General features: G+C 44.5%; 1 protein-coding gene and 1 pseudogene across 1 annotated transcript in view; both read left to right on the plus strand.

Moving 5' to 3' along the window:
* OR7E97P (olfactory receptor family 7 subfamily E member 97 pseudogene) lies at positions 2834-3804 on the plus strand (annotated as a pseudogene).
* Positions 11897-12791, plus strand: part of LOC112267908 (translation initiation factor IF-2-like) — a 92138-nt gene continuing 91243 nt past the window's right edge. Inside the window, exon 1 of the mRNA XM_047449437.1 lies at positions 11897-12132. Coding sequence (XP_047305393.1) covers positions 11897-12132 — 236 coding nt within the window. The remainder of the gene's footprint in view (positions 12133-12791) is intronic.

Here is a 12791-nt window from a genome sequence, read left to right on the forward strand (position 1 = left end):
CACCACCTGCAATATTGGAGGTAATATGATTTTCTCCCCTCCTGGATATCACAAACAATATCACAGGGGGTTGTGAACAAACCCTGCGATATTTGGAGTAATATCATCGTCTCCCCTCACAATTATTAAGAACAATATAGTAGGGGTGGGGGATGCACACCCCCTTTCATATTTTTTATCATCCTCTTCTCCCCTGGATATTAGGTACAATATCAGGAAGGGATGTACAGACCCTGAGACCTTTGCTGTCATAGAATTGTCTCTCCCGTAGATATTAGGAAAAAATGTCACTGGGGATGTGAACAGCCCTGCGATATTGAGAGTAGTATCATCCTCTGCCCCCTTGCATATTGGGAACAACATCACAGGTGGGGTGTACTGCCTCTGTGATATTGGGAGTGAAATTTTCCTCTCTTCCCCTGGACATTAGGAAGAGTATCAGAGGGGGTGGGTGTACATTCCCTGCGATATTCAACGTAACCTTATCCTCTCCCTCCCAGGGTATTCAGAACAATATTACAGGAGGGGTGTACACCCTCTGCGATATTGAGAGTCATGTCATCCTCTTTCGCTCTGGATATTAGGAACAATATCACAGGGTTGTGTACACTCTCTGCGATATTGGGAGTCATATCATCCTCTCTCCCTGTGGATATTAGGAAGAGTATCACAGGGCTGTGTAAACCCCCTGCGGTACTGGGAGTAATATCATCCTCTCTCCCTCTGGATATAAGGAAGATTTTCACAGGGGTGTGTACACCCCCCTGCGATATTGGGAGTGAGATCACCCTGTCCACCCAGGAAATGACTAACATGGTCACGGGGAAGTGTACTCCCCCTGCGATATTGGGAGTAATGTCGTCCTCCCCAAACCTGGATGTTAGCAACGAGATCACAGAGGGGGTGTACACACCCTGCGACATTGGAAGTAATATGATCCTCTCCCCACCTGGATACTGGGAAAGATATCACAGCGCGGGTATACGTTTCCTACCCTGTTGGGAGTAATATCATTCTTTTCCTTTCTGGATATTAGGAAGAATATCACAGGGGTGCTGCACGATTACTTCGATATTGGGAGTAATATCATCCTCTATTTTCCTGGATATTGGGCACAAAAACACAAAAGGGTGTACAACCCCTTCGATATTGGGAGTAATAGCATACTCTCCTTCCGTGGATTTTAGAAAACAATATCATCAGGGCTGAACACCCCCTGCGATAAAGGGAGTCATGGTTACTCTTTCACAGGCCATTTGGAATAATATCACAGGGGGTGTTTACAAATAGGGGTGGTGTACACCTCCTGTGATATTGGGAGTAACATTCTCTCCACCTCCGGATATTAAGAACAATATCCCGGCGGGAGGTGGTACACCCCCAGTGATATTGCAAATAATGTCATCCTCTCCTTCCCTGGATATTAGGAACAATATCACAGGGGGTTGTACACCTTCTGTGATATTGGAAGCAATATCATCCTCTCCCCCGCTGGATATTAGGAAAAAAAATCACCCACGGTGTACACCCACTGTGATATGAGGAGTAATATCTTCCCAGGGTATTATGTATAATTTCACAGTCTGTACACACATGGTGTACACTCACTGTGATATTAGGAGTAATATCTACCTAGTAGATAACAAATAACATCGCAGGGTGTACACCCACTTTGATATTAGCTGTAATATTTTTCTAAGTTGTTACAAATATGATCACAGGGTGTACCAACATGGTGTACACACACTGTGATATCAGGAGTCGTATCTCTGTAATATATTATGAATAATATCACAGGGTGTACACCCACTGTATTATTAGAAGTAATATCTCTGTAGGATATTACAATTAAGATCACAGGGTGTAGAGCCACGGTGATATTAGGAGCAATATCTTTCTAGGATATTACAAATAATATCACAGGGTGTACGCCCACTCTACTCTCAGGAGCAATATCTCCCTAGGATATCAAAAATCCTATCACAGGGTGTGCAATCTCTGCCTTCCAGGTTCTAAGGGATTCTCCTGCTTCAGCCTCCCGAGTAGCTAGGATTACCCGCTACCACGCCAGGCTAGACGGGATTTCACCACGTTGGCCAGGCTGGTCTGGAACTCCTGACCTCAGGTGATCCATCAGCCTCGGCCACCCAAAGTGCTGGGATTACAGGTGTGAGCCATGGTGCTGGGCCAAGAGTTCTAGATTCTATTCATTTGGAAACACAGCTCCCATCTTTGAGTGTGCATGTACTTTTATGAAGAAATGATGTCAGAAAACCGAAGGATGATAATAAATATGAAAAGTAACAGGCATGTGAAAAGGTCTTCCGATTGAGAATTATAAGGTTCGATTTCGTTTTCACATAATGGGGTACTACCTCTTGAGTCGTCCTTTTACATATTCTACATCAATGGAAGTTGTAGCACCGTGTCAGAATAAAGTAGAGTGTATTTCACGGTTTCTTAATTTCTTTCAATTAGACTGAGATCTTTTTCTTAAAGAGAGAAGGACATTGTCATTGCATTGTATTTTTTCTGAAAAGAGTAGGCCGTATTTTACTGAGATCACGGATTTGTTATATATGACGTTTCGGTCTTCTAATATTCTCCAGTGGATTTTCTCTAAAGTAGTGTGTACAGAAAGCCTTGTATAGCAAAAAAGTAAATCATGTAATAATTCTGAGATTTTTGGAATTGTCACAGCTGAGAAACATTGCTGGCGGTGTATGGTCCGCAAGTGTCAAGATGTTCCTTGTGAATTGCTTGCATCCAGCATTAAGGGCTGGTTTTTATCTTTTATTTTTCCAATCCTCTTTCCTTCTCAAGGTGTCCAAGACACACAGAGCCACGGAATCTCACAGGTGTCTGAGAATTCCTCCTCCTGGGACTCTCAGAGGATCCAGAACTGCAGCCGGTCCTCGCTTTGCTGTCCCTGTCCCTGTCCATGTATCTGGTCACAGTGCTGAGGAACCTGCTCAGCATCCCGGCTGTCAGCTCTGACTCCCACCTCCACACCCCCACGTACTTCTTCCTCTCCATCCTGTGCTGGGCTGACATCGGTTTCACCTCGGCCACGGTTCCCAAGATGATTGTGGACATGCAGTGGTATAGCAGAGTCATCTCTCATGCGGGCTGCCTGACACAGATGTCTTTCTTGGTCCTTTTTGCATGTATAGAAGGCATGCTCCTGACTGTAATGGCCTATGACTGCTTTGTAGGCATCTATCGCCCTCTGCACTACCCAGTCATCGTGAATCCTCATCTCTGTGTCTTCTTTGTTTTGGTGTCCTTTTTCCTTAGCCTGTTGGATTCCCAGCTGCACAGTTGGATTGTGTTACAATTCACCATCATCAAGAATGTGGAAATCTCTAATTTTGTCTGTGACCCCTCTCAACTTCTCAAACTTGCCTCTTATGACAGCGTCATCAATAGCATATTCATATATTTCGATAGTACAATGTTTGGTTTTCTTCCTATTTCAGGGATCCTTTCATCTTACTATAAAATTGTCCCCTCCATTCTAAGGATGTCATCGTCAGATGGGAAGTATAAAACTTTCTCCACCTATGGCTCTCACCTAGCATTTGTTTGCTGATTTTATGGAACAGGCATTGACATGTACCTGGCTTCAGCTATGTCACCAACCCCCAGGAATGGTGTGGTGGTGTCAGTGATGTAAGCTGTGGTCACCCCCATGCTGAACCTTTTCATCTACAGCCTGAGAAACAGGGACATACAAAGTGCCCTGCGGAGGCTGCGCAGCAGAACAGTCGAATCTCATGATCTGTTCCATCCTTTTTCTGGTGTGGGTGAGAAAGGGCAACCACATTGAATCTCTACATCTGCAAATCCTGCCCCTTAGTCACATTATTTTTGTGGCTTGATGGCTTTTATTCCTTTCCGCATTTCCTTTGTGAATATTGCTTTCTTCGTTATGCCTTTAACTGGAATGGGTGAGGATTCTGTGATCCTTTGTTTAGCAGAAACCTCATGACAGAATCCTCTCTACCTAGGCGGCCTCTTTTAGTTTCTGAGCAATAACCCTGTCATCCAGGTGGAATCACTACCATCTTTTTATATACACGAAGTCCTCACTTCGTTTTGGAATTCCCTGAAAACTGACTTTATGGAAACAATGTACAGGAGGTCCTCCAACAGTATTGGTTGTTCACAGTTGTGTAGTTATACTGTTGATGAAAAATAAGCGGTTTCACTATACATAATTTTGCTTCAAGTTGAAGTTTCCAAGAGACTTTCAAAGATGTTAAGTGAGGACATACTGTACATCAAATTCATATCCTCTTCCACAGTTCATGTGGAATTACTTTACAAACTGCTTCTAGAGAATCTATTTAGGCAGGTTATGTGTAGAGATCCATGTCGCCGTTCCTCAATCTTGGCTTTGAGTCAAATCACCTGGGGAGCTTACACATGATGAGGCCTGGGTCTCAATACCTGAGATTCTGATTTCCTTGAACCTGTGTGAGTATGCGGATTTTTTTTTTTTCTTTTAAAGCCCCAGAGGTGGTTCCAATGACGAAGTTTTTAGAGGCATGAAGCTCCAATGAGTAAGAATAGAAATTAATTGTTATATGATTTCTTCAAATATTATGTTCAAATGCATTGTCCATCAACACCATACAAATGTTTATTATGCTGTTTTTTGTTACCATTTCGCATTTTCTATTTCTTTCTTTTCCTTTTTTTTTGAGTCAGAGTTTCACTCTTGATGCCCAGGCTGGAATTCAATGGCACGGTTTCGGCTCACTGCAACCTCTGCCTCCCGTATTCAAGCAATTCTCCTGTCTCAGCCTTCCAAGTAGCTGGGATTACAGGCATGCGCTACCAGGCCTGGCTATTTTTTTTTTTTTTTGTATTGTTAATAGAGACAGTGTTTCTCCATTTTGGTCAGGCTGGTCTTGAACTCCCGACCTCAGGTGATCTGCCCGCTTCCGCCTCCCAAAATGCTGGGATTACAGGCATGAGCTACCGCGCCCAGCCACCACTTAGCATTTACATTTTACATTTGTGGAAGTTATAGATTTATACACACATTGATTCCTGCTTTGTTATACACTTGCATATACATAAGATGGGAAATAGAAAAGAATAAAATAGGCACAGTATCCGTGAAGTTTCACATTCCAAGTCTTTAAAAATATGTGCTTTTTAGAAATTTGTTTCAATGAAGAAACTGTGGTATACACACCCAATGAAGTATTATTCAGCCTAAAAAGGAAGAACATCCTCTCTGCTGCAGACAAAATGGATGAGATTGCAGGTCTGTATATTAAATGAAAGAAGCCCGGCACAGAATGACAAATATTTCCTGTCCTCACTTCTACGTAGGAAGAAAAAAGGAAACCTTGGCCAGGTGTGGTGGCTCAGGCCTGTAATCCCAGCACTGTGGGAAGCCGAGTCGCACGGATCACTTGAGTCCAGGAGTTCGAGACCCGCTTGGCCAACATGGTGAAACCCCGTCTCTACGGAAAAAACAAACAATTACTCGGGCTTGGTGACGCGTGCCTGTAGTCTCAGCTACTCAGAGGGCGGAGGCCCAAGAAGCTCTTGAACTCGGGAGGCGGAGCTTGCAGGGAGCCCGGATTGTGCCTGTGTACTCCAACCTGGGCAACAGAAAGAGACTCCATCATACACCTACACACAAAAGGAATCTGAGGAAGGTGGAAAGTATAAACGTGGTTAGCAGGCGCTACGAAGAAAAGGGGTGGGATGGGGAATGAAGACAAGTGGATAATTGGGTCCCGAAATACAGAAAGATGGAATAAGTGAGTTCTAGCGTTTGATAGTACAGTATGAAAATTTTAGTTCACAAGAATTTCTTGCATATTTCCAGATGGTTTGGTAAGAAACTTCCTAACTTTCTCATTATGCTTCTTTTTAAGCTCTTCTCTTTCTGCTCTTGAAATCATGCTTGTTTTTTTTTTTTGTTTTGAGATGGAGTTTCGCTCTTGTTGCCCAGGCTGAAGTGTCATGGTGCAATCTTGGCTCACCGCAACCTCTGCCTCCTGGGTTCAAGTGATTCTCCTGCCTCCACCTCCCGAGTAGCTGCGATTACAGGCATGTGCCAGCCCGCCCAGCTAATGTTGTATTTCTAGTAGAGACGGGGGTTTCTCCCTGTCGGTCAGGCTGGTCTTCAACTCTTGACCTCAGGTGACCTGCCAGCTTCGGCCTCCCAAAGTGCTGGGATTACAGGGGTGAGCGACCGCGCCCTGCCCATGCTGTATCCTTATCTGTTGTCTATTGTTGTTTGTTTGTTTTGGAGCCCAGAAATACCTTCCCACCTATATGTTCAAATGATTTTTCACATGAGTGCTAAGAAAGCTCATTGGTGGAAAAGCAGCCTTTTCAAGAAATGGTGTTGGAGAAACTTGATTTCCACATGCAGAAGAATGAAGGTGGACCCTATGTCACACCAGGTGCAAAAATTCACACAAACTGGATCAAAGACCTCACCCCAAGCGCTAAAAGTGTCATATGCCTTAAAGAAAACATTGGCCACGCTTTCATGACATCAGATTGGGCAATGTTCTCTGGGATATGACACCAAAAGCATAGGCAACAAAGAAAATTATATTCCTTGGATTACATCTACATGACAGACACTTTTGTGCAGCAAAAAACACTGCGAACTGAGTGAAAAGATAACCCATGAATTAGGAAAAATATTTGCAAAGCATATATCTGAAAAGAGGTTGATATCCATCATATATAAAGAACAGCTAGAACTAAACAAGAAACCCAAAGCATCCCATCAACAATGGTCAGAAGACTCAAGTAGACGTGTCCCTAAAGAAGATATTGCAATGGCCAATAAGCATCTAAAATGATGTTCAAAATCACTCATCCTAGGGAAGCGCAAATCAAACCAAGAATGTGTTACCAAACATTAGGATGGATATGATAAACAAACAAGCATTGGAGAGACTAGAGGGAAATAGGAATGCTCGAATATGATCGGAGGGAATGTAAAACCATGAAGGAATGGGGAAAATGGCATGGCATGTACTGGAAAAATTAGAATGATCAGATGTTCCCGCAGTTACATTTGTGGGTACCTACCAAAAAGAATTAGAAGCCAGGAGTGGAAGACAGATTTGTGTACACCCATATTCATAGCAGCATTATTCACAACAGCCAAAATGTGGAAGCAACCCAAGGGTTTGTGGACAGATGAATGAAAAAGCACACTGCAGTTCCTTCATACAATGGAAGACTATTCAGCCTTGAAAAGGCAGACACTTCTGGCCGGTGCGGTGGCTCACGCCTGTAATCGCAGCGTCTTGGAAGACCGAGGTGGACGGATCACCTGAGGTCAGGAATTCAAGACCAGCCTGGCCATCTTGGTGACACCCTGTCTCTACTCAAAATGCAAAAAATGAGATGAGCGTGGTGGTGTGTGCCTATAGTCCCAGCTACTCGGGAGGCTGAGGCACAAGAATCTCTGGAACCCAGGAAGCGGAGGTTGCAGTGAGCCCAGATTGTGCCACTGCACTCCAGCCTGTGCGACAGAGTGAGACTCCATGGAAACACAAAACAAAACAAAGTCAAACGAACAAACAAAAAACAAAAAAAACACAGAGAGGCACTTCTGACGCAGGCGGCAACATGGATGAACCTTGAAGACACTATCGTCAGTGAAATAAATAAATCCCAAAAGGATAAACAGGCCCATGTTCGGTGGCTCGCACCTGTAACTCCAGCACTTTGGGAGGCTGTGCCAGGCGGATCACTTCAGGTCAGGAGTTCGAGACCAGCCTGGCTAATATGATGAAAGCACGTCTCTATTAAAAATACAAAAATTATCTGGGCGTGGTGGCGCACGACTGTAATCCCAGCTACTCGGGAGACTGAGACACAAGAATCGCTTGAACCCACGATGTGGAGGTTGCAGTGAGGTGACATCACGCCACTGCACTCCAGCCTGGGTGACAGAGAAAGACTCTGTCTCCAAAACAAAAAAATTAAACACGGTATGATTCCACTTTTCTATGAAGTGTCTAGAGTAGTGAAACCCATAGAGTTGCAAACTAGAAAGGTGGCCCCCAGGGGTGGGCGAGAGAGAGGAATGGAGAGCTTGGTGAATGGGTAGAATTTCCATTTTGAAAGATAAAACTGTTCCGGAGACGATGGCGGTGATGGTTCTAAACAATGTGAATGTACTTAATGTCATTAAACTGTAAACTGAAAAACAGTGGAAATTGTAAATGTGTATACTGGCCATTCTATATGAACTAATACATATTTACAATTTTTAATATTTATACGTGGTATATTTTCCCATAATAAAAGATGAAAATTAAAGCAGTTGGATGTTTAAAAAGAAAAGAAAGAAGCGAAGAATACACTCCAGCTTTCTCCTGATTAGAGGGAGAGCCCCAATGCTTCTGTGGACGCTCACTTTTCTGTTCTTCTTGCAATATTATGAGGAAATCCTTAGAGGTTGGGGAACTTGGGCGACTTAGGCTAATGAGGAGCTCTGTGCCTTGAGCCCCCAGGCCACAGAATAGTAAATACTCCGTCTGTGCCTCCAGCCCTGCAGTGTGAGGTTGCAGTCCTGTGGGCTCCACTCCCGTCACCTGTATCGGGGGCTCATCTCTCACCCTGTCTTCTTGCCAGCCTTGAGGACAGAGTCTGAGCCTCCATGGTGCACCAAGCAGGTAGGACAGTGGACCTGTTCTCCGTGGTCATGTCCCAGCAGAGAGTAGGGGCAGTTCAGCGAGTGTAGGCAAAAGAAAGAGAGATCAGACTCTTACTGTGTCTATGTAGAAAGGAAAGACATAAGAGACTCCATTTTGAAAAAGACCTGTACTTTCAACAATTGCTTTGCTGAGATGTTGTTAATCTGTAGCTTTGCCCCAGTCACTTTGAACCAACCACTTTGACCCAACATGAAGCTCACAAAAGCATGTGTTGTATGAAATCAAGGTTTAAGGGATCTAGGGGTGCAGGACATGCCTTGTTAACAAGATGTTTCCAAGCAGTAGACTTGGTAAAAGTCATCGCCATTCTCTAGTCTCAATAAACCAGCGGCACAATGCACTGTGGAAAGCCACAGGGAGCCCTGCTCTTGAAAGCAGAGTATTGTCCAAGGTTTCTCCCCATGTGATAGTCTGAAAAGTGGCCTCTTGGGAGGAGAATGACCTGAGCGTCCCCCAGCCCGACCCCCGTAAAGGGTCTGTGCTGAGGTGGATTAGTCAAAGAGGAAAGCCTCTTGCAGTTGAGACAGAGGAAGGCCGCTGTCTCCTGTCTGCCCCTGGGAACTGAATGTCTTGGTATAAAACCCGATTGTACATTTGTTCAATTCTGAGATGGGGGAAAAACCGCCCTATGGTGAGAGGCGAGACATGTTTGCAGCAATGTTGCCTTGTTATTCTTTACTCCACTGAGATGTTTGGGTGGAGAGAAACATAAATCTGGCTTACGTACATGTCCAGTCATAGTACCTTCCCTTGAACTTCCTTATGACAAAGATTCTATTGCTTACATGTTCTTTGCTGACCTTCTCCTTATTATCAGCCTGCCCTCCTGCTACATTCCTTTTTGCTAAAATAATAAAAATAATAATCAATAAAAACTGAGGGAACTCAGAGGCCTGTGCTGATGCAGGTCCTTGGTATGCTGAGTGCTGGTCACCTAGGTCCACTGTTGTTTCTCCATACTTTGTCTCTCTGTCTTATTTCTTTTCTCGGTCTCTCGTCCCACCCGACTAGAAATACCCACAGGTGTGGAGAGGCAGGCCACCCCTTCAAGTGAGTGCTGAGGGACGGTTGGGGGCCTTGTTTGTTTCCTCATCCTCAGGACAAACAAGAGACTGCGGTGGGCAGATGTAAGGAGACCAATGTGCAACTCTCTGCTCAGCAGAGTGTGGAGTTTCTGTTCTTGGTTGTGGTGGGGGTCTCAGAAATCTTATTCAAAATTTTGCTTTCTTCCCCCACTGGTTGTCCTTTTCATAGACATCTCACCCATGATAGCAGGGAATCAGTCCCTCTAAACTATTCCCTAAGAACAACAAAAAGATTATGAAGGTGATGATGAGGATAAAGAGGATGACGACAGACACCATGGCATCATGAACCCTTACTGAGGGCTTCCTGAAGGCCAGGCTCTGAGCTCTGTGCTCTATGCAGCTTGTTTCATTTCATCTGCATAGTCTCCATGTTATTAGCGCACATTTCATGATTATTTTACAGACTAGAAAAGGCGCAACGGATTTTCATGTAGCTTGTACCAAATCACGAAGTCAAAAAAGGTGAAGTCCAATTTGAACCGAGCAGTCTAAGTCCAGACACATGGCATTTGGGCAGTCCTCTCCCTGCAACCAACCTGCCCTCTCAAATTCTAGTCACTCAGGCGGTTGCCCCTGCTCACTGTGCCCCTCCCTTTGGGGGTTCCTTGTAGACCACAGCTAGACCAGTGGGTGCCACAATCACTGTGTCAAGTATGGAAAGGACAGCTGAGATCACATCGAGGATTCCAGAAAGAATTGGCACAGGATCATTCGGGACGCATCTCTCCCTTTCCCCTGTTCCTGGCTTTCTGTACAGCTCTCGACTTCCTCAAAGGAGTCATCAATTCGGAGTTTGGCTTCCATTCCTATTGAGGAAGCTGGAAAGTGTTTCAAAAATGTTCCTCCGAGGTGTCTGTGGTTAAGACCTCTGAGCTCTGCTTAAAACTTCTTGAAGCTGGGCGCGATGGCTCACACGTGTAATCCCAGCCCTTTGGGAAGCTGAGGCAGGCGAATCACAAGGTCAGGAGTTCGAGACCAGCCTGGCCAACATGGTGAAACCCTGTCTGTACTAAAAATACACACACACACCCACACAATTAGCCAGGAATGGTGGCGTATGCCTGTAATCCCAGCTACTGGGGAGGCTGAGACAGGAGACTCCTTTGAAGCCGGGAGACAGAGGTTGCAGTGAACCGAGAACATGCCACTGCACTCCAGCCTGAGCAACAGAGCAAGACTCTGTCTCAAAAAAATAAATAAATAAAAATTATGAAAAAAAGTGATTGGATGGGCTTGGCAAACTTTAGCCATTAGCTCACATACCACTTTGGAAGGGCATACCTTCAGTCACTTCGCCCTTTAATCCCTTTGCTCAAGACTAAAGTTCTGAGAGGAAGTCTAATCGGCTGAGTTGTGTCCATGTGGGCAGTGCAGGAAAGGGTGCAGCGGGAGGCGGCTCCAGGGACGTCTTTGGCTTCCATCATGGGGGAGCAGGCGCCTGGATTATCCACCCTAACAAATCTGGACAAAGGAAAACGATTTTCTCTGAGGAAGGAGACATAGAGCACAAGGAGCTAACCAAGAGACAAATAGTCATCCTGTCTTGTCATTTTCTTTTACACATGTGTGTACATTATCTTACACTTATCGCTTTGTTTTCTTTCTCTCCTTTAATTGCACCCTGCTGCCAAAAGTTAAAATAAAATGAAAGTATTGAGATAGCTCAGTAACTGACTTTTGGTCAATTGCGTTTTCATATAGTGAACAGCTGCCCAAACGATTGTCTCTGTCACTGTGCAAATTTGCAAGCGTTTGCATGATCACTCCCAATCCCCCAACAAAGGGCTGTTTTACAACACAATTTAGTTCAGTGTTTTGCTCTCTGCAACAGGGAGGTTCTCATCCATTACAGGTTGCAGTAAAAACAGGGGTACCATAAGCAACCACCTCTTTCCTCAACGATGTGATGAAAGCAAAAGCCAAGTATCTTCATGTATCCAACGTAAAAATATAAAAAGTTACGCCCGTCGGCTGCAGTTGGAGCTATGGCGGCGGCAGCTGTCACTGGGCCTAGCCCGGGGTGTGGACCTGGGGACTCCCCAGAAGGGCCCGAGGGGGAGGCTCACGGAGCGTCGGCGGAAGGCACACAGGATGTTAAAGCTTTACAACGGCCTCTCGGAAGGGGAGGCGGTGAGACTCCTCGCGGGGACCGACCCCCTGGACCCCACTGATCTGAACGGGGCACACTTCAACCCGGAAGTTTACCTAGACAAGCTGCCTAGAGAGTGCCCTCTGGCCCAGCTGATGGACAGTGAGACGGACATGGTGCAGCAGATCCGGGCTCTAGACAGCGACATGCAAACCCTGGTCTATGAGAACTACGATAAGTTCATCCCCGCCACAGAAATTGACAAACAGCATAAAACTGTATGAGGAATTGCAGGAGACCCAGAATTTACCAAATAACCTTATAAAAGAGAATAAAGTTGGAAGACTCACAAAAAAATACATATATATATGTATATATATATCAAGATGTGTTTTTGTTCAGTTGTAAATGTTTAGTAATTTCTATTGTGATTTTTCATTTAACTCATGAAAAGATATTTTTAATTTTCCAAATGTATGCTTGTGTTTAGCTATCTTCTTGCTGTTGACTTCTAATTTTGTTGCATTATGGTCAGGAAAATGTGGTCTGGACAATGTCAATCGTATAGTGGATTTTGTTGAGACTTCTTTATGGCCTAATATGTGGCCAGTTTTTTTTTTTTTTTTTGCAAATTTGCCACATGTGGTTAAAAGGAATGTGGATTATTTGGGTTTTTTTGGAGAGTTTTTATTTTTAAATAGATAAGGTTTTCAGTGTAATTGAAATCTAGCTTCAATTAACAATATGCTAGATCTCTCAAACCTTAGGATGTTAGTCAGTGTAAGAATAGACTGCTGCTGAGACGAATAAACCCTGAACTCTCAGTGGGTTGACACCCATAGCATAGTCTGGTGCAGGGCAGGGGTTCTCCTTGGGGGCCCTTGTCCAATAGTGATT

The sequence above is a fragment of the Homo sapiens genome, chromosome 3 (genome assembly GCF_000001405.40).
Source record: "Homo sapiens chromosome 3, GRCh38.p14 Primary Assembly".
NCBI lineage: Eukaryota > Metazoa > Chordata > Mammalia > Primates > Hominidae > Homo > Homo sapiens.